At 43.6% G+C, this 20,435-nt stretch overlaps 2 long non-coding RNA genes across 2 annotated transcripts in view, besides 1 other annotated feature; one reads left to right on the forward strand and one right to left on the reverse strand.

Annotated features, from left to right (window-relative positions):
• The window catches only part of LOC105375655 (uncharacterized), a 34,037-nt gene extending 14,028 nt beyond the window's left edge, over nucleotides 1–20,009 (forward strand). The window contains exon 2 of the long non-coding RNA XR_928434.3: nucleotides 1,355–20,009. This is a non-coding gene — a long non-coding RNA (uncharacterized LOC105375655). The remainder of the gene's footprint in view (nucleotides 1–1,354) is intronic.
• Nucleotides 1–20,435, reverse strand: part of LOC101927066 (uncharacterized) — a 494,634-nt gene that overhangs the window by 212,663 nt on the left and 261,536 nt on the right. The window lies entirely within an intron of this gene.
• Nucleotides 7,095–7,389: an enhancer, noted in NCBI's record as "tiled region #10694; HepG2 Activating DNase matched - State 6:EnhF". NCBI's record gives its function as "activates a minimal TATA promoter and a strong SV40 promoter by Sharpr-MPRA in HepG2 cells {active_cell/tissue: HepG2}" and the evidence as "EXISTENCE:reporter gene assay evidence [ECO:0000049][PMID:27701403]".

Below are 20,435 nucleotides of genomic sequence, written 5' to 3' on the forward strand. Positions count from 1 at the left end.
TTATGACCCTCGTAATCAGGACTCTATAGGTAAGAGACAAAATACATTTAAACTAACTCCATAAGAAAGAGGAGATACTGAGGTATCACGTGAACTCAAGGTCTCGGATATAGTGAGGCTGAGGCTTCAGGAATTGAACTGGAGACTGCTGCCTGCTCAGCAGTGCTTTTCGACCTGCTTCACCTCACAAATATTACATAAAATGATGATATTCCTATGGCTCATGGGGATAAAATAATGAGACTGCTCCAATGCAATCGAAAGTGACTTACTCCTTGTCATACTGATCAGCCAACCAGATTCCAGATAAAGCCGTTTATTCTCCCAGTTCCCAAGCTCTCAGGAAAGCCATGGCAGATATTTATGGAGACCCTGTTGTGTGGCAAGCACTGTTTTAAGCACTATACCTGCATTTCATCACTCAACAAATCCTCACACAATCCTTTAAGTCAGCTATTATATTTTTCCATTTTATAGATAAGAAACCTCAATTACTTAGGGGCTAAGCAATGTGCCCAAAGTTGTGGGACTAGTGATGGAGACTGAATTTGAATCAGTTAGGCTCCTGTTTCCCCTTAACCCTCAGTTTCAGTGCCCCAGCAATGGAAGGTAATAAAGCTTTCTATAACAGGGAGGGAACTGATTGGCTGAGCTTGAGTTAGGTGCCCACTCCTTGACCAATCAGCCATGAGAAGGGGATGGTCTCACACTGTAGATGGCAACTAGGTGCTCCTGCTAAGCTCTGTGGAAGTGGATAGGGACAAGTCCTAGCAAAAGAGTGCTTAACGGTCACTCATAGGGGTCCTCTTCTTTCTCTCCCTCCTGAGTCCCTCAGGGACTAAGGTTGACTTAATCATTCTCATCAGTTCACAGCAAGCTGTCATTCCAATGCATCTCTTGCTTTATTTCATCCTATTTCTATTTTCCATTCCCATTCTCCTCCCAACCCCAAAGGCAACCATCCTACTTTGTTTGATAGGAATCATTTTATTTTTATGTGTTCTTACATAATGTGTCAATATATATTGTTTTGTGTGCATACATTATTCATTTACATACATGACACTGGGCTACAGGTCCTACTGTGTGTCTTCCTTTTGTCACCCGGTGTTATGTTCATAAAATCTATCCGTGTTGCTGTGTGCACGTCCAGCCTATTGCTTCTGACCACAGCATGGACTCTATGATGCGCCAGCAACACGTTTTGCTTTATCCAACACATGTCCTGTTAAGTCACGGACTAGTGTGGTCTATGGGCTGGCAGAGGTGAAAAGATCTCCCTTTTCATGTAGCTTGCCCACCTACTTACAGCGTTGCATCACAGGGTCAAGTGTTTCTCCTCCACTTCACGCAGCTCGGGAGCCCTCTTGTCTGGAAAGGCTCTTCCCTGCTGGTGCCTCCAGGCTGGGCTGGTTGTTGCTCCTCTATGCTCCCGAGGTCCTCAGTGCCTGCCTTTATCAGAACAGAGGCCACAGCGCACCTTGGTTAAATGTACAGTCTCTGGGACCAGACTGCCTGGACTCACAACTCTGGCTCCGCCATTTACAGGTGAGTCACATAACCTCTCGGTGCCCCCACTTCCTTGCCTGCAAAGTATCATTTACCACAACTACTCATTGGATTGGTGTGAGGGTTCAATGAGAAAAATCTATGAGAAGTGCTAAGAATAGTACCCGCCATCAATTAAATTCTATTTGTGCCTATAAAAATAACATTTGTTGTATGTAATGAAATTGTGTTTACTTGTGTGTCTCCACCATCAGGCTAAGACATCCTCAAGTCTAAGGACCTTGGTGTTTTCATCCCAGAGCCCCACACCTTGCAAGTGTCCAGAGCATAGTCATTGGATGATGCTGTTTCCCACTTACCCTCTGGTTTGACATGGCTGCAGGATTGGCATATGGAAACTGACTGGGTTGAGAAGAGACTCAAATAGGGACAGACTGGAGATGTAGGCTTAGAAAGGAGAGATTTCCTGAAGCTTTAATGCTGTGCAATAGAAATATACAGCATCAACTTCCTTATACAACTAGGCGGGTCAGCAGGTCACCTGTGGCGGACCCAGGGAGGATGTCCTCACACCGAACAGGTGAGCTTGGCTCGGAGCATGGCCAGGAGCCAGCCCATAGCCACATGCCACCACTTTCTGGCCTTCACTGTGTTTGCCTTAGTGTCCTCGTCTGTAAAACAGGACTAATGGCATCTACCTCACAAGGCTGATGTTAGAACTTTGTGAGGAAACAGTTTTCAAAAGCTTAGAACAGTGTCTGGCATGTCCTCAATTGGCAAGAAATGTCAGCTCCTCTTGGTGTGATGATCACCAAACCCACTTTTTTTTACAAACAGAGTGGGGAGACACCACGTCATTTTCATTCTTGTTTCAGGATCTTGGGAATTTCTGTTTGTCCATTTATGCATTTGTTTTTGTCTTTATTTATTTATTTAGAGTTCTGGTGGAGATAATTTGTTAGCAGGTTTTCTGTTGGAAGGTGCAAGCCTTCTTCCCTAGCCTCAATAAGTGTGTCCCTGTAGGCAGAGGGGGGCAATATAGCTTCTCAATCTTCGAAGACTTCCTAAGGACAACATCACTCTCAGGTTGGAAATTCTCCGAAATCCCAGCTTCCAGCAACCCACAGTCAAGTATTCCTAGGGATATGAGAGGGTTTTGTTCGCAGTCACAGAACACGTATAAATGGGGATAAACTCAAATGGTTTGTTGTTTTGGTTAAAGTCAATAAAAGGGAAGAAGAACAAGGAAATCAAATACGGGTCCAGTGGGACCATCCTCAGTGTAATAACAGCCTTTCCCATTAGCTTTCTAAGCAACTTTTAGGCTGCTGATTTGCCGCAGAAAGACTTTTTAAAAATGCTTTAGTTTCATACATGGAAAGAAGCCCTCAGGGTGAATTGCTGGCTGCCCTACATTAGAGGCCTAGCAGTAAGAACCATTAGCTCTAAAGAGAGGTTAATTACGAGGAGAACTCCCTGGCCTAAGCTGAGGGAGTTACAGTGATTCCCAGTGAGAGGCTAATCAGGAGGCAGCGTTGGGTGGCAACAGCCCTCTCCTGGACAAGGGCTTAATGGGAGTGTCTAATACCATTTGCAGTGTTTGGGTTTATGTGGGGACCAGGGGTCCTTTTGTGTTTGGGTTCATTAGCTTCAGGGATTATTGCCTATGGGGATTCACTAACAAGTAGCAGGGGAAGGCGGGAAGAGGCAAGATGAGCTGGAGAGATTCAGCAAGACCTCTTATTCTATAAAATTAAGATCTTGATGAAACCCCAGACTTTGTCCAGGGCTGGCTCCTTGGTCTATCTGGATTGGCAAATAGGTGTAGACAACATATTACAGGATCTTACACCCCATGTCATCTATTCCAGATGATTCTGCAATCAGCTGTGCCTTAAAACATGTTCATGAAAGCTACTCTTGATTTCCAAGAAACTGCATGAGATTTCGTTTAGAAGCCCTTGAAAACAAAGTTTGTATTTTGTCAAGAAAAGTTTGTTTAGAGCCAGCAACACAATTTCCAACCCATTCACCACCCTCCACCAACATTCTGAGGGCAAATAGGAATCCAGGATGTGCAAAATTTAGGAACTTTTCTCCAAAAGAGAAAAGTTTTCTCCAAAAGAGACAAAATATATATAAGCATCAGATTCCACAGTTACTAACTGAGCACCTACTATGTGCTTGACACTGTGCAGAGTACTTTGCTTTGCTCCACGATTCCCACAATGCTCATTACTCCACGGGACAGGGGTATGGTTATCAGTTCTGCAGATGGTGAGACTGAGGCCTACAGACTCACAAAAGGCCACACAATGAGAGCAGAGCCAGCCTCTGTCTTCCAGTCCTTTAACTTTGGTCATTTTTCCTGTCCTCTGCCCTGCCTCAACAGAATAACCCAAATAGTTACCTGTAATGGAAATTAGAACCATTGTAACAAGTATTCACAAGTATTTAGCTTAAGGGAAGAAATGTTAAAATGTCTCTCCCTGTGGGTTACTGAGTGTGACACCCCCTGACCTCACCCACCCTCTACAAGTGGGGGCCAGGAGCCCTGTTGTGTGTTGTTGTTGTTTGTCTTCCCAACTTTGGAGTGAATAAGTATGCAGATAAACCCTGTGACAAATATCAGGTAAATCTGAAGTGGCTGTGTGTGTTGACATTTCATTTTTATTATGTTTTCAATATCTGCGAAAATTTTCAATAAATAAATTTTTCTTATGACACCTTCAAATTGAATTATATTTTAAGAATATCTACTTCGCTGTGCTGGCACTGGATGAAATTCTACCATTTTGAACTTCTGCTCTTCATGCCCATGTGACAATTAAGGTAATTATATAACATCTTACTGAATGATGATCTTGTCACAGGTTAATAAAAATTAATGTATTTCTATTCTTCACTCTTTAGTTTCTTATCAACATTCAGCTTAAGCATTTTTAGCTTTTAAATATTGTACATTTGGCAATGTCTATAAGACATTTCCACTTGAGTTCAGCCAAGGCGGTATGCAAATGAGGAGCTGACACTGTTCTGTAAGTCAGCAGAATGCGGTGGGTAACAGTCTGGTTTCTGGAGCCAGCTTGCCTGAGTTTGGTTCCTGGTATACCATCATTTCTGCTGTTGATCTTGGGCAAGTTACTGCACCCAGCTCCATCTTATGTTCTCTGTAAAAATAAGATTAAACATGCCCCTGCCCCACTTGGTTCCTGTAAAACCATTATTTATGGAAAGTGTTTAGAACGATGCCTGGAATATAGTAACTCTATATAACTAATTGCTGTTATTATCATTATGTAGGAAAAACAATGAATAAGACCTAAAAAATTTGGAAGGCAGCTACTGGGACATCAGGAATCAGGACTTGTGTATGCTGGGCCTCACCACCATGACCTTCCAGAACTGAAGAACTTGCAGTACTAAAGCACTTAATGATTACCTTAGTCCATCTGTGCTGCCATCACAAAATGCCACAGATGGAGTAATTGATCAAGAACACAACTTTATTTCTTGCAGTTCTGGAGGCTAGGGAATCCAAAACCAAGCTTCCTGGCATTGGCGTCTAGTGAGGGCTGCCCTCTGCTTTCAAGGCGGCGCCTTGTTGCTGTGTCTTCACATAGCAGATGGAAGGGCAAGAGGGCTGAACACTGTATGAAGCCTCTTTTATAAGGGCCCTAATCTGATTCATTAGATCTCCACTCTCATGACTTAATCACCTCCTAAAGGCCCCCTCTTAACACTGTCACATTGGTGATTAAGTTTCAACATATGAATTTTGGAGGGGACACAAACATTCAAGCCATAGCAGTGATATAGTCATGACTCTTCTCCCCTAACTCACCTCTCAGGCCTGTAATGTTCATGCTTTTTTCAGTCTATTAAATAAATCAGCTCGTAGTTCACAAAATATAGGCAAACAATCTTAAGATGTGAAAGTATAAATAAGTAGCCACTTAGCAAAAAGTTTGATTCTCGTAGGCAGAATTTATGGGATGTGTTAAGCATAAGATAAGCAGATAGCAAGTAGAACGTGTGTGTTATACCGAGATTGAGTAGGATGAAAGGACCGAGAAATAGCTAATATTTATGATGCAGTTGAGTATTAAATATTTGTAACGTACTAGATAGACATTTAGACATAAGGCTAAACACCAAGAGGTACCAAATAGACATGAGCATTTTATATACATGATCTCCTAATTTGGCAACCTATTGGCTATATCTTTCTGGTCCAATGTGTCCTCTGCCTCCAAAAACAAATAGAACTTATGGCTGCTCATCTTGCTAACTGGCAAGCTATAGCTGTCACCAGGCATACTTGTCCTTATATCTCTAGTAGAACAGGGATGTGATATCAACCCAGCAAATCCATCCCTATCTATCTATATCAGGGATTCCCAAGGCCACCCTCATATTCAATGATTTTCTGGAAGGACTCACAAAAATCAGAAAAGCAGTTATACTCATGATTACAGTTGATTATAGCAAAGGCTATAGATGAAACTTGGCAAAGGAAAATACGCAAAGGGTGGAGTCCAGGAAAGACAAAGTCCAAGCTTCTAGTTGTCCTCTCCCAATGGGGTTGTATGAACAACACTTAATTCTCCCAGAAATGATGTGTGATACTACATACAAAGTACTGCCAACCAGGAAGTTTAACCATGCTTTAAACTTGGTGTCCTGGGTTCTTACTGGAGTTTAGCCACATAGGCATAGAGTGCCCATGTAGCTTATCTTAGCTACTCAAACCCTAGGCCCCCGCTGCCCCCTAGAGGTCAAACTGATAGCATATGGCCCAAGTCTACCACCTAAATCACATTTTTAGCATAAACTATCTGGTATGGCCCAGGGCACTGGGCAAACGGTAGCACTCTTATCAGTAAGGATATTCCAAAGGCTCAGGAATTATCTCCCTGAACTAGTCCAAGGGCCAGTCCTTTCTTTGGGATGTACAGGTTTGAACACCCCAGACCCACTGAGTTAACCCTTTCCTGCACAGTGGGGTCCTTCCACTCCACTTGTGTCTGATCCTAAGTGCATTAACTTACCCCGTCTCTCTCCTCTTGCGTCTCACTTTGTGTTTTAAATTGACTTAATAACTTTGCTATTTGCAAATTTTAATCTGCCTTTTAATGAGCCCTTCTGGGATAGCTTGCTTGATAGTGTATTTGTAGACTATCATTTCAGACTATCATTTCATGTACTTTGAGCTAACTTCTCACCAGACATGTCCAGCCTTCATCATTTGCTTTACCCACCCATCATTAGGTGGGTAAAGAGAGGTGGTATATTAGTGTGCTTTTCCTGAGCTATGCCATGGAGGCAAACAATACCAATGCTTACAGTGACCATGGTTATAAATTAGGAATCTGTACAACCTACCACAGTGGGATAGAGAGGAGGAGAAAGCTAAAAAAGCAGATTTTTGAGAGTATTATTATAGGCTTGGTCTTGTTCATTGCTTCTGGGCACTGCTGACCACAATTTGCCTACAAGTCACATTTAGTGAATGCCCACTACAGACCAGGCACCATGCTAACCACTCTAGATGAATTAGCTTATCCTCACAAAAACCTATGAAGTAGGTATTATTTATATCTTCACCATTTTATAGATGGGTAGATGGAGGTACAAAGGAACTTTGAGCTTGTGTGCTTTGTCAACAGTGGAGCCAGAATTCAAAGGCTGGTGACAAAGTTCACACTCTTAACCACTCTGCTAGGCTGTTTGGGCTCTCTCATTGGTTTGTCTCGGCTACCTGGCATACAGTAGACATAACTCTTTTAACTATGAGTGACAGAAACTCAACTCAAAATGACTTAATTGAAAAGGAATACTTAACTCCACAAGCTTGAAAATTTCCAGAGCTAGAACTGAAACAGTTGGATCCAGGAGCTCAATCAGGAAGTCTGGATTTGACTGCCCTCTTGCCATCTCTCAGTTCTGTCTCTTCTTATTGGGTCTCACTTTTCTCTCGTGGCTGTTGGCAACTCGAAGCTGACATTCCCAAAGTTTGGCAATCCCAGCTCTATGAGAGACATTCTCTTCCCCAAGAATTCTAACCACAAACCAAGGAGTTGGAGTGGCTTTGGTTTCCCTAATCAATCCAGTCACTGGGGTAGAGCAGTGGCCTGGTGTGGGTGATGTGTCCATTCTTGGTGCTAGGTGCTGTGGTCAATCCCACTTGAACCACATGGATTTAACATGAAAGAGAACATTGGCCCAAAGGAAGAGGAAACAGCTCCAGGCAGGCAAAAATAATCAATCCTCTTATTGGGTTCAGAAAATATATGAATATTGGAAGATGGATGAATAGATGGATGGATGGGTGGCTGAGTGGATGAATGGATGGATGGATGGATGGATGGATGGGTAGACAGATGCGTATATGGGTAAATGAATGCAAAAGGTAATGCCCAAGACAAGGGCCTCTATGATGAGAAACGCATAAGAAAAATACTTCTTATGCACCCAAACAGTAAGAGGAGTCAAGGTTAGGTTAAGTCAGTCAAGGTTAAAGAAACTTTGCTTCTCTTCCACAAAAAGAGACACCAGGATATTTGGGGGAAATGGTAGAGAAAGACTATTGAAAAAAGGTATATGAAACAAAGAATGAGAACATGAGGAGGAATTTCTCTAATGGAGACAATCACAGTTTTAATAGGACATCTGCTTCGAGCAGTATGAGTTTCTGGGTGCTGCTATTGTTGGTATATCTCTTTTTCTTGGTGCAGTAACTAGGCTACAGTTGTCATGGGCAATTACAGCCCAGTGTGCAAAGTCACACATCCCATCTGGAGAGACCGGTCACCTCAACTGGCACAAGCCAGCAGGATCCTCAGGAAATATGAGCTCACTCCACAGGGCTTCACAGATTCTCTTTAACTTCCTAACTCAAACTGTTCCTTTAGGTTGCTCTCTAGTTTTCAGCCTTGTTTGTGTCCCCTTAAAGCTGCCATTTGGAAAGCTGAATTTTCAGAATGGGATTTGGCAAGGCAAATGGAGCCTCAGTTGGGAGAGACTATCTGTCCTGCAGAGAAGGTTATGAAAAAGGACAGGATGGTGGATTCCAGCAGCAGGTTTAGAGAAAGAAAAAAAGAGCGATGTACATACTCACATACATAAGCATCTTGAACTGCTTTTATGCAGAGCTTGGGTTCAGCAAGTCCTTAGCATATTTCAGCCCAAAACCCTTGTCTTATTTTATTTTTCACCCTACGATATGTTTCAGAAAAAAATGTAATCTGCATCTTTCTAGTTCTTCTGACTTCAATTTTGTCCTTCAAATTTATTAGCCCATCTTTTAAACTCATACAGCTATTCTTATATAACAACTCCACTCTTCTATAGCTAAGTAGATGTTTATGTCTTTTGTGTTTATGTCAGGGATTTGTTGTGAGAAAGTAGGGGGAAGGTTGCTTCCAAGAATTTGAAATTTCTTTTTCAACCCAGAAGTTTCTAAGAGTCACGAGCATCTGCTCTGCTAGTCTAGAGGGCTCAAGTCTAGGGCGCCTTTTGAGGTATGATGCTTCATTCCTTGGGCTCTGATGTGGGACTGAGTTTGCTTGCAATCTAGGACCTAATATCCTAACTATTTCCTTCAGCATCAGGACTGGTTATGCCCATCTCAAGCCAACTTAGGGTTAAATGTAAGAAAACGTTTTCATTGTAGAATGCAATTTGCCAACCAAAACTTATGCCAAAACTGAAATCTGAAGGGAGAGAGAACAAAATGGGGTCACTTTTACGAACTTTTGCCAACCTGGCTGGGCTAAATGCAGCACAAAGCAAGAGAACTGGTTTTCTAACTGCACCTCGGGCAAGCACAGTGACAGAAGTCCTTTAGGAACCACACATCACCTGCAAGACATGGAGAAAGTGGAGATTCAGCAAGGAGCTGGATTCTTTGCACAGATAATTTCAAACTTGTCCTTTCCCTGCTCTTTCAACTGGTGAGATACTCTGCAAGATTTTCTGCCTCATCCTATTTTGTTGCCAACCTATCTCCACTCAATCCAGTTTTGCCCAGATATAATTAATGGCAACAAGAGCTTTCCAGCCTACAAAATTAATGTGGAAATGGCTGAAACAGTGTCTTGATGGCAGAAGGAAGAAACATTTCCTTATAATTTGCCATGCAAACAATCCGCTACATCCGTAACTGTGCCTTTTCACATGCAAATGAAGGAGCCAACCTGATATATGATCTTAATTGGGCCTCTTTAGGAAAGGAAGTCACATCTGAACTTGGCTTCAGGAACTTCTACCCGCATTCACCTTAGTACATAAGGTCAAATGAATATTTTTTAAATGAATGCCTCACTGTATTTCTTTCCCTGCCTCCCTAGGCTATTTCATTCAGATTCAAATCTCATAGTCCAGGCATTAATACTGACAATTCATCTGACTGTTTAACAAAAAAGGGAGATAATTTCTTACATACAGAAACAGATAAGCCACTTCCTCAGATTTGATGAATTTAAATGCCTAACTTCATCTTAGAAAGAATAAAGCCAGTAATAGTGAGAGGAAGTCAGAAGTGGGCAGGGCAGACCAGGTAGGCCCTTATAAGCCTTGCTAAGACTTTGGATTGGAGGGTTGAAAGCGGGACATGACATGATTTGAATTAATATTTCCTCTTTTTATTTTATTATTATTTTTTATAAAGTTAGGATTCAAATTCTATTTAGGATGCTATTTTAAAAAGAGAAAATGCAAGACCTGAGAGAACCAGAAATCACCAGTCAGGAGCTGCCATATTATTTTCAAATATTCTCCTCTAAAAGTGGAACTGCCCACACAACACGAGCATACTCATTGGTCTTGCCACACAAGGAAGAATTTGTGAGAAAAGTCAAAATTCAGTTTATAACATTCTTTCTCCATAAATGATCAGAGGATATCAACTTTTTCTTTATGATATGACTTAGGCTAAGAACTGTGATCCTGGATGAAACTTAGCTTCCTTGGCCTCCCTGGCTTCTGCCTATTGTCAGGCCTCTGAGCCCAAGCCAAGCCATCGCATCCCCTGTGACTTGCACGTATGCCCCCAGATGGCCTGAAGTAACTGAAGAATCACAAAAGAAGTAAAAAGGCCCTGCCCCACCTTAACTGATGACATTCCACCATTGTGATTTGTTCCTGCCCCACCTTAACTGAGTGATTAACCCTGTGAATTTCCTTCTCCTGGCTCAGAAGCTCCCCCACTGAGCACCTTGTGACCCCCCGCCCCTGCCCACCAGAGAACAACCCCCTTTGACTGTAATTTTCCATTACCTTCCCAAATCCTATAAAACGGCCCCACCCCTATCTCCCTTCGCTGACTCTCTTTTTGGACTCAGCCCACCTGCACCCAGGTGAAACAACCAGCCATGTTGCTCACACAAAGCCTGTTTGGTGGTCTCTTCACACAGACGCGCATGAAATTTGGTGGATCAGGGGACCTCCCTTGGGAGATCAATCCCCTGTCCTCCTGCTCTTTGCTCCATGAGAAAGCTCCACCTACCACCTCAGGTCCTCAGACTGACCAGCCCAAGAAACATCTCACCAATTTCAAATCCGGTAAGTGGCCTCTTTTTACTCTCTTCTCCAACCTCCCTCACTATCCCTCAACCTCTTTCTCCTTTCAATCTTGGTGCCACACTTCAATCTCTCCCTTCTCTTAATTTCAATTCCTTTCATTTTCTGGTAGAGACAAAGAAGACACGTTTTATCCGTGGACCCAAAACTCCAGCACTGGTCATGGACTGGGAAGACAGACTTCCCTTGGTGTTTAATCATTGCAGAGACACCTCTCTGATTATTCACCCACATTTCAAAGGTGTCAGACCACATAGGGAGGCCTGCCTTGGTCCTCCACCCTTAGCGGCAAGTCCCGCTTTTCTGGGGGAGGGGCAAGTATCCCAACCCCTTCTCTCCATGTCTCTACCCCTTCTCTGCTTTTCTGGGGGAGGGGCAAGTACCCCTCAACCCCTTCTCCTTCACCCTTAGCGGCAAGTCCTGCTTTTCTGGGGGAGGGGCAAGTACCCCAACCCCTTCTTCAGTGTCTCTACCCCTTCTCTGCTTTTCTGGGGGAGGGGCAAGTACCCCTCAACCCCTTCTCCTTCACCTTTAGTGGCAAGTCCCGCTTTTCTAGGGGGCAAGAACCCCCAATCCCTTATTTCTGTACCCCAACCTCTTATCTCTGTGCCCCAATCCCTTATTTCCATGCCCCACCCCCCCTTCCCACTTTTCTGGAGGGTAAGAACCCCCAAAACCCTTCCCTCCGTGTCTCTACACCCTCTTTTCTCTGGGTTTGCCTCCTTCACTATGGGCAACCTTCCATCCTCCATTCCTCCTTCTTCTCCCTTAGCCTGTGTTCTCAAGAACTTAAAACCTCTTCAACTCACACCTGACCTAAAACCTAAATGCCTTATTTTCTTCTGCAATGACGCTTAACCCCAATACAAACTCGACATAGTTCCAAATAGCCAGAAAACGGCACTTTCAATTTTTCCATCCTACAAGATCTAAATAATTCTTGTCGTAAAATGGGCAAATGGCCTGAGGTGCCTGACGTCCAGGCATTCTTTTACACATCAGTCCCTTCCTAGTCTCTGTGCCCAGTGCAACTCATCCCAAATCTTCCTTCTTTCCCTCCCGCCTGTCCCCTCAGTCCCAACCCCAAGCATCGCTGAGTCTTTCTAATCTTCCTTTTCTACAGACCCATCTGACCTCTCCCCTCCTCGCCAGGCCGAGCTAGGTCCCAATTCTTCCTCAGCCTCCGCTCCTCTACCCTATAATCTTTTTATCGCCTCCCCTCCTCACACCTGGTCCGGCTTACAGTTTCGTTCCGTGACTAGCCCTCCCCCACCTGCCCAGCAATTTATTCTTAAAAAGGTGGCTGGAGCCAAAGGCATAGTCAAGGTTAATGCTCCTTTTTCTTTATCCCAAATCAGAAGCGTTTAGGCTGTTTTTCATCAAATATAAAAATCCAGCCCAGTTCACGGCTCGTTTGGCAGCAACCCTGAGACGCTTTACAGCCCTAGACCCTAAAAGGTCAAAAGGCCATCTTATTCTCAATATACATTTTACTACCCAATCTGCTCTGGACATTAAACTCCAAAAATTAGAATCTGGCCCCCAAACCCCACAACAGGGCTTAAATAACCTCACCTTCAAGGTGTACAATAATAGAAAAAAGTTGCAATTCCTTGCCTCCACTGTGAGACAAACCCCAGCCACATCTCCAGCACACAAGAACTTCCAAACGCCTGAACCGCAGCGGCCAGGCGTTCCTCCAGAACCTCCTCCCCCAGGAGCTTGCTACATGTGCCGGAAATCTGGCCACTGGGCCAAGGAATGCCCGCAGCCTGGGATTCCTCCTAAGCCATGTCCCATCTGTGTGGGACCCCACTGAAAATCGGACTGTTCAACTCACCTGGCAGCCACTCCCAGAGCCCCTGGAACTCTGGCCCAAGGCTCTCTGACTGACTCCTTCCCAGATCTTCTCAGCTTAGCGGCTGAAGACTGACACTGCCTGATCGCCTCGGAAGCCCCCTAGACCATCAAGGACGCCGAGCTTCAGGTAACTCTCACAGTGGAAGGTAAGCCCATCCCCTTCTTAATCAATACGGAGGCTACCCACTCCACATTACCTTCTTTTCAATGGCCTGTTTCCCTTGCCTCCATAACTGTTGTGGGTATTGATGGCCAGGCTTCTAAACCTCTTAAAACTCCCCAGCTCTGGTGCCAACTTAGATAATACTCTTTTAAGCATTCCTTTTTAGTTATCCCCACCTGCCCTGTTCCCTTATTAGGCTGAGACACTTTAACTAAATTATCTGCTTCCCTGACTATTCCTGGACTACAGCTATATCTCATTGCCGCCCTTCTCCCCAATCCAAAGCCTCCTTTGCGTCCTCCTCTTGTATTCCCCCACCTTAACCCTCAAGTATAAGATACCTCTACTCCCTCCTTGGCGACCGATCATGCACCCCTTACCATCTCATTAAAACCTAATCACCCTTACCCTGCTCAATGTCAGGATCCCATCCCACAGCATGCTTTAAAAGGATTAAAGCCTGTTATCACTCACCTGCTATAGCATGGCCTTTTAAAGCCTATAAACTCTCCTTACAATTCCCCCATTTTACCTGTCTAAAACCAGACAAGCCTTACAAGTTAGTTCAGGATCTGCGCCTTATCAACCAAATTGTTTTGCCTATCCACCCCATGGTGCCAAACCCATATACTCTCCTATCCTCAATACCTCCCTCTACTACCCATTATTCTGTTCTGGATCTCAAACATGCTTTTTTTTACTATTCCTTTGCACCCTTCATCCCAGCCTCTCTTTGCTTTCACTTAGACTGACCCTGACACCAGTTAGGCTCAGCAAATTACCTGGGCTGTACTGCTGCAAGGCTTCACAGACAGCCCCCATTACTTCAATCAAGCCAAAATTTCATCCTCATCTGTTACCTATCTCAGCATAATTCTCATAAAAACACATGTGCTCTCCCTGCTGATCGTGTCCGATTAATCTCCCAAACCTCAATCCCTTACAAAGCAACTCCTTTCCTTCCTAGGCATGGTTAGCGCGGTCAGAATTCTTACACAAGAGCCAGGACCGCACCCTGTAGCCTTTCTGTCCAAACAACTTGACCTTACTGTTTTAGCCTAGCCCTCATGTCTGCGTGGAGCGGCTGCCGCTGCTTTAATATTTTTTGAGGCCCTAAAAATCACAAACTATACTCAACTCACTCTCTACATTTCTCATAACTTCCAAAATCTATTTTCTTCCTCATACCTGACGCATGTACTTTCTGCTCCCCGGCTCCTTCAGCTGTACTCACTCTTTGTTAAGTCCCACAATTACCATTGTTCCTGGCCCGGACTTCAATCTGGCCTCCCGCATTATTCCTGATACCACACCTGACCCCCATGACTGTATCTCTCTGATCCACCTGACATTCACCCCATTTCCCCATATTTCCTTCTTTCCTGTTCCTCACCCTGATCACGCTTGATTTATTGATGGCAGTTCCACCAGGCCTAATCGCCACACACCAGCAAAGGCAGGCTATGCTATAGTACAAGCCACTAGCCCGCCTCTTAAAACCTCTCATTTTCTTTCCATCATAGAAATCTATCCTCAAGGAAATAACTTCTCAGTGTTCCATCTGCTATTCTACTACTCCTGAAGGATTATTCAGGCCCCCTCCCTTCCCTACACATCAAGCTCGAGGATTTGCCCCCGCCCAGTACTGGCAAATTAGCTTTACTCAACATGCCCCGAGTCACAAAAACTAAAATACCTCTTAGTCTAAGTAGACACTTTCACTAGATAAGTAGAGGCCTTTCCTACAGGGTCTGAGAAGGCCACCACAGTCATTTCTTCCCTTCTGTCAGACATAATTCCTCAGTTTAGCCTTCCCACCTCTATACAGTCTGATAACAGACCAGCCTTTATTAGTCAAATCAGCCAAGCATTTTTTCAGGCTCTTAGTATTCAGTGACAGACTAATGGTCTATTAAAAACACACTTCACCAAGCTCAGCCACCAACTTAAAAAGGACTGGACAATACTTTTACCACTTTCCCTTCTCAGAAGTCAGACCTGTCCTCAGAATCCTACAAGGTACAGCCCATTTAAGCTCCTGTATATACGCTCCTTTTTATTAGGCCCCAGTCTCATTCCAGACACCAGACCAACTTAGACTGTGCCCCAAAAAACTTGTCATCCCTACTATCTTCTGTCTAGTCATACTCCTATTCTCCGTTCTCAACTACTCATACATGCCCTGCTCTTGTTTACACTGCCAGTTTACACTGTTTCTCCAAGCCATCACAGCTGATATCTCCTTGTGCTATCCCCAAACTGCCACTCTTAACTCTTGAAGTAAATAAATAATCTTTGCTGGCAGGACTATGCTGAATCTCCTTAGGCACTCTAATCAGATGTCCTAGGTCCTCCCAATTCTTAGACCTTTTCCATTTAGTTTTTCAATTCATACAAAACATATCCAGGCCATCACCAATCATTCTACACGACAAATGTTTCTTCTAACAACCCCACAATATCACCCCTTACCACAAGATCTTCCATTCAGCTTAATCTCTCCCACTCTAGGTTCCCACGCCGCCCCTAATCCCGCTTGAAGCAGCCCTGAGAAACATCGCCCATTCTCTCTCCATACCACCCCCCAAAAATTTTTGCCGCCCCAACACTTCAACACTATTTTGTTTTATTTTTCTTATTAATATAAGAAGGCAGGAATGTCTGGCCTCTGAGCCCAAGCCAAGCCATCACGTCCCCTGTGACTTGCACCTATATGCCCAGATGGCCTGAAGTAACTGAAGAATCACAAAAGAAGTGAAAAGGCCCTGCCCCGCCTTAACTGATGACATTCCACCATTGTGATTTGTTCCTGCCCCACCTTAACTGAGTGATTAACCCTGTGAATTTCTTTCTCCTGGCTCAGAAGCTCCCCCACTGAGCACCTTGTGACCCCCCCCCACCTCCCCTGCCCACCAGAGAACAACCCCCTTTGACTGTAATTTTCCATTACCTTCCCAAATCCTATAAAACGGCCCCACCCCCATCTCCCTTCGCTGACTCTCTTTTCGGACTCAGCCCACCTGCACCCAGGTGAAATAAACAGCCATGTTGCTCACACAAAGCCTGTTTGGTGGTCTCTTCACATGGACGCGCATGAAACCTACGACTTGTTATGCTTTGTCATTGAAAGGTCCTGGCTGATCTTGGTCAAGTCACCCACTCTTGCTGGCCTCACTTTTCCTCTTTTGTACCATGAGCCCAGAGAGGACGATCTCTGAGGCATTTCTATCTGCCTCCTCATAGTTCTAAGTCTCCACTTTTAATCTACATTTCCAATTAAGTGAGCAATCTGTGAATGATTCAGAAGCAACATTCTAAAGGAGTGGTTCTAACCCTGCCCTGCCCTATTCTCCAGAAGGTATCACACCAGTTGCCTCCTTTAAATATAATTCTATGGAAGTGTTTGCTTACTTGCGTGTTTCCTTCCCTGCCTTCCTCTTGTGCCTTCCATTACAATTATCTTTTCCTCCCAGCCCCCACACTCAATTGTAGCAATCGCTCATTTGCTGGGTAGACGTCTCTAGAGCACCTCTAGGTACAAAGCACAAGGCCCCCGTTTCTGACCATCAGAGAAGGGAAAGTTAGTGACCAAAGGCGGAAATGCAAGATAGAAAGTTCAAAGGAAAACGAGGTCACACAGCAAAGATTTCCTGGGGAAACAAACAGAAGGAGGAGGAAAGGAAGCTGACAGAAATAGCCTCAGGACATTTGCACATGAAAGGCTCTGGAAGCCTATCTATGCTGCTCAGTCCCAGCTTTGGTTTCATAAGAGGTAACTGGTAAAACTGAGAGGCTTGTAAAACCAGATTTCAAAGCATCTCTCTCTCCCTGCTTCTAAGAAACAAGCTTCTAGGCCTCCACACACAGAAACACTTTCCACAAGTCTTTGCCTTTTGGGGTTCAGAAGAGAAACAAGATACAACAGGCCATTTGGAAGGGAAGGGTAGCAGGAAAGAGGGGGACAACTAGTGGAATAATAACCAATCATCATAAATTAATATTGAGCCCTAAACATGCAGACCTGCATTTAGAGCACAAAACAATTAGTTCCCACATAGACTGAGTCTTTACAAATATTTAAGTTGGAAAGAGAGAAAAGAAACAAATCCTCATTTTGGTATTTGCAGGAAATACATGAGTTTCAGCTTGGGAGGCAATGGGGTGCTCTAGGGTGGGAAATGATGTCTTGAACAATTAAGGTGCCTACTCCTGCCCTTTATCCAAGCAGACTTCCTTCCCATCCATCCCGTAGCTATCACTGGGGTGTCTACCCACTGTGTTCACTTCTGCAAACTTCTCTGACAGAAGAAAGGGGGACTTGCAGCTGGACGCTGCTCCCTGGCTCTTTGGAGTGGGTTCTTTTACATTGTACTTCTCCACAGCATGGACCATAGATTAATTGCAGGCATGACTCAGGGAGAGCTTGCTAAAGAAGCAGGGTCCTGGCCTCCACCCAAAACTTCTGACTCTGAATCAGTGTCTAACATTTCTTTATTTATGTACTTACTTATCGGTTTTGTTCACTGCTATATCTTAAGCTCCTAGAAAAGTATTGAGCATGGTAGATGCTCAATAATTATGTACTGAATAAATGCATGAATTCACATATTACATTCACTTGGCCACAGTGGTTGGCTTTAGGAAACACAATCAGTATGACACAAGAAGACCCAGTTCGAGGGCTCTTGTTGGGAATGAGAGCCATTCTTTTATTTGCAGGGATGGATTAAAAAAACAGTGGGGTGATTTTTGCCTGAGAATAAAGTCAACAGAGAGAAAAGTGGAGCCAAGAGATTGAGTGAGAAAGACTGGGTCCCGATGACACTAAACTTCTAGAGCCAGCTGTGATTTCCTTTGGGATGAGAGGCAATAAATTCCTTTCTGCTGAAGCTGTGCTGACTGGGGTCTCCATCACTCACTGAGACCTGCCAGGCTTCCTGGTGCTTCCCTGTCAGGATCACACACTCAGGCTGAGTGACAGCTTTTCAGAGCAGACTTGATGCCTTTTCGTGTTTCCTATATCTCTCCTTTTCCAACCTCCTGCTCTTGAGGGTCTTTAATGTAGGGCAGGGCTTTCTAGGCATGGTTACCATTGTTATGATTATTGTAAGAAACTTATTTTTGAAAATGACTTAAGAATTTGCAAATCATTTTGTATTTATTACCTCATTTGATCCTCTCAAGGACCCATAAATCAGCAGTGGACGTGTAATCCTCGTCCAGTTCATTGATGAGAAAATGGACACTCGAGGAGATAAAGGCTCCAGTCCTGGGGTCAGATGACTCGTATGCAGCAGGGTCTGACCTGGATTCTCACCCAGGCCCTCTAATCACATAGCCCTTGCTTTTTCGCTTTGTCTTTATGTCTCCTTTTCAAGAAAAAAATAATAGGCCTAAGATTCAGTGAGTTTTCCCTAATGAATTTATAGACTCGAGCCATAAAGAACACTTGAGATTCCTTGGACCTTGCAGGAATGTTTCTGTGTCCCACTGTTGGATTTTGTAAATGGAGCAAGTCTCCAACAGGATGATACTCAGGCCATGGCTGCTTTCTGGAGCTTCCAGATACTTTATGATGAGAAATTAGTTGAGTTCATGTCAGTAGCATCTTTGCAGCCCATTTCCTGATACAGATGGTGTGGACTGAAACACAAGAGTGGGATGGAAATCCATCCTGGTAGAGTTCAGCAGATAAATGACATATTTTAGAACTTGTGTCCAGACAACATCCCAAGGTACAAGACACCATTTTCCCTTCACCAATACCTAATGCTCACTGTTGAGAAGCCAGTGCAGACTTCAGCCTAGACACACACACACACACACACACACACACACACACACACATTTATAATTTATTTATTGGGTGTTTTAAAACTGTACGCTCTAGGAAATGACTATGGATGAAAGCCTAGAACTTATATACCAGTAAAAAACAAATACAAATATGATACTAATTAAAACTATAGCAAGATATAAAGTTCACCCAGAAAACATCACCTTGTTGAGAAGAGACTGTTTAAAGATACAAGTCAGAATACAAAGGCTGGCACCTTGTCCTTAGTGAATTAAAAATTCCAGAGTCCTTCATGGATTTGAAACTTGCCATTGGAATTATAAATATTGCCATATTGATAGATATACCTTGACAGTTATGAATAGTAGCAGTAATAATAATGATGATAAATGTTATCTGAAATAAACAATAGCTAATACTTTATTGTTAGCCAAGAACTCACTCTCCACGTATCATCTCATTTGATAGAACAGTCCTGATGACAATATAGAGCTCATCACAGGCAGTTCAGAAACAATCCCATGCATTATTAACGGATGTCCCGAAGCATCGGCTCTCAGAACAAGAGCGACTCATTGAGTCCAGCTGGATCATTCTACAGATGATAACAATAGTCAACATTTGTTAAGCCAGGCCCAGTGCTACACATTTTACATTCATTATCTCATTTAATCCTCATCCCCAGTTTGTTGGTCAGGAAACTGAGACTTAGCAATGTTAAGCAATTTATGATGGTTACTCAACTAGCAAATGAGAGAGCCAGGCTGTGTGGTTGAAAGGTGTTATCCTTGTGGCTCAAGATACACTTCTAGTTCGGTCCTACACAACTTCATGTTCTTTACTAGCAGAGCTAAGATATGACAAACTTTCTGCCTTGGAGCAAAGGGTCCAAAAGAAGACAAATGAAAGAGAACCTATACTAACTAGCCATTTGCCCTTTGGAAAATCAGCATCCCCCAGCCTTGTCTTCTGCAAAACAAGACCCTTAGACTGAATGCTCTCTAAAGAATCATTCAGCTCTAACATTTGATGATACCATAAAATATATCATGCGTGGTAATAGGCAAGTGTGTTGGGAAGGGAAATTTTGCTATTTAACAAAAAAAAAAAAAAAAAGAAAGGAAGACAGGAATAAGCATAGCTACTTCTGAATTCTAGAGAAGCAGCAGAATTCCTCCCAGGGGACTCTTAAAATGCATCCTATTAGGCCTTTTGGTTGTTAGTATATTTCTTATAAAAGAGTTTTAAAAGCCCTCTGGTGCCCATAAGTAAGTGATTTCTGTACTTCAGAATCCTTCTCAACACAGGGCCCCAGGCAGCCACCAATAAATGATCAAAGTGGGCTTGCAAGATAAAATGCATTTTATATCCTTCCTACAAAAGGATATCTTGGTTTTAAAAAAGCATATGCCTTGCAGACATCTCATGGTTATACTGTAGTGGTCAAATAAATGGTGAATGGGTGACAGCCTGTTGGACAAGTGCAAGTCCTGCTAAATGCATTGCCAAGGACAAGGTTAAAAT

This window comes from Homo sapiens, chromosome 8 (assembly GCF_000001405.40).
Source record: "Homo sapiens chromosome 8, GRCh38.p14 Primary Assembly".
In the NCBI taxonomy this organism is placed as follows: Eukaryota; Metazoa; Chordata; class Mammalia; order Primates; family Hominidae; genus Homo; species Homo sapiens.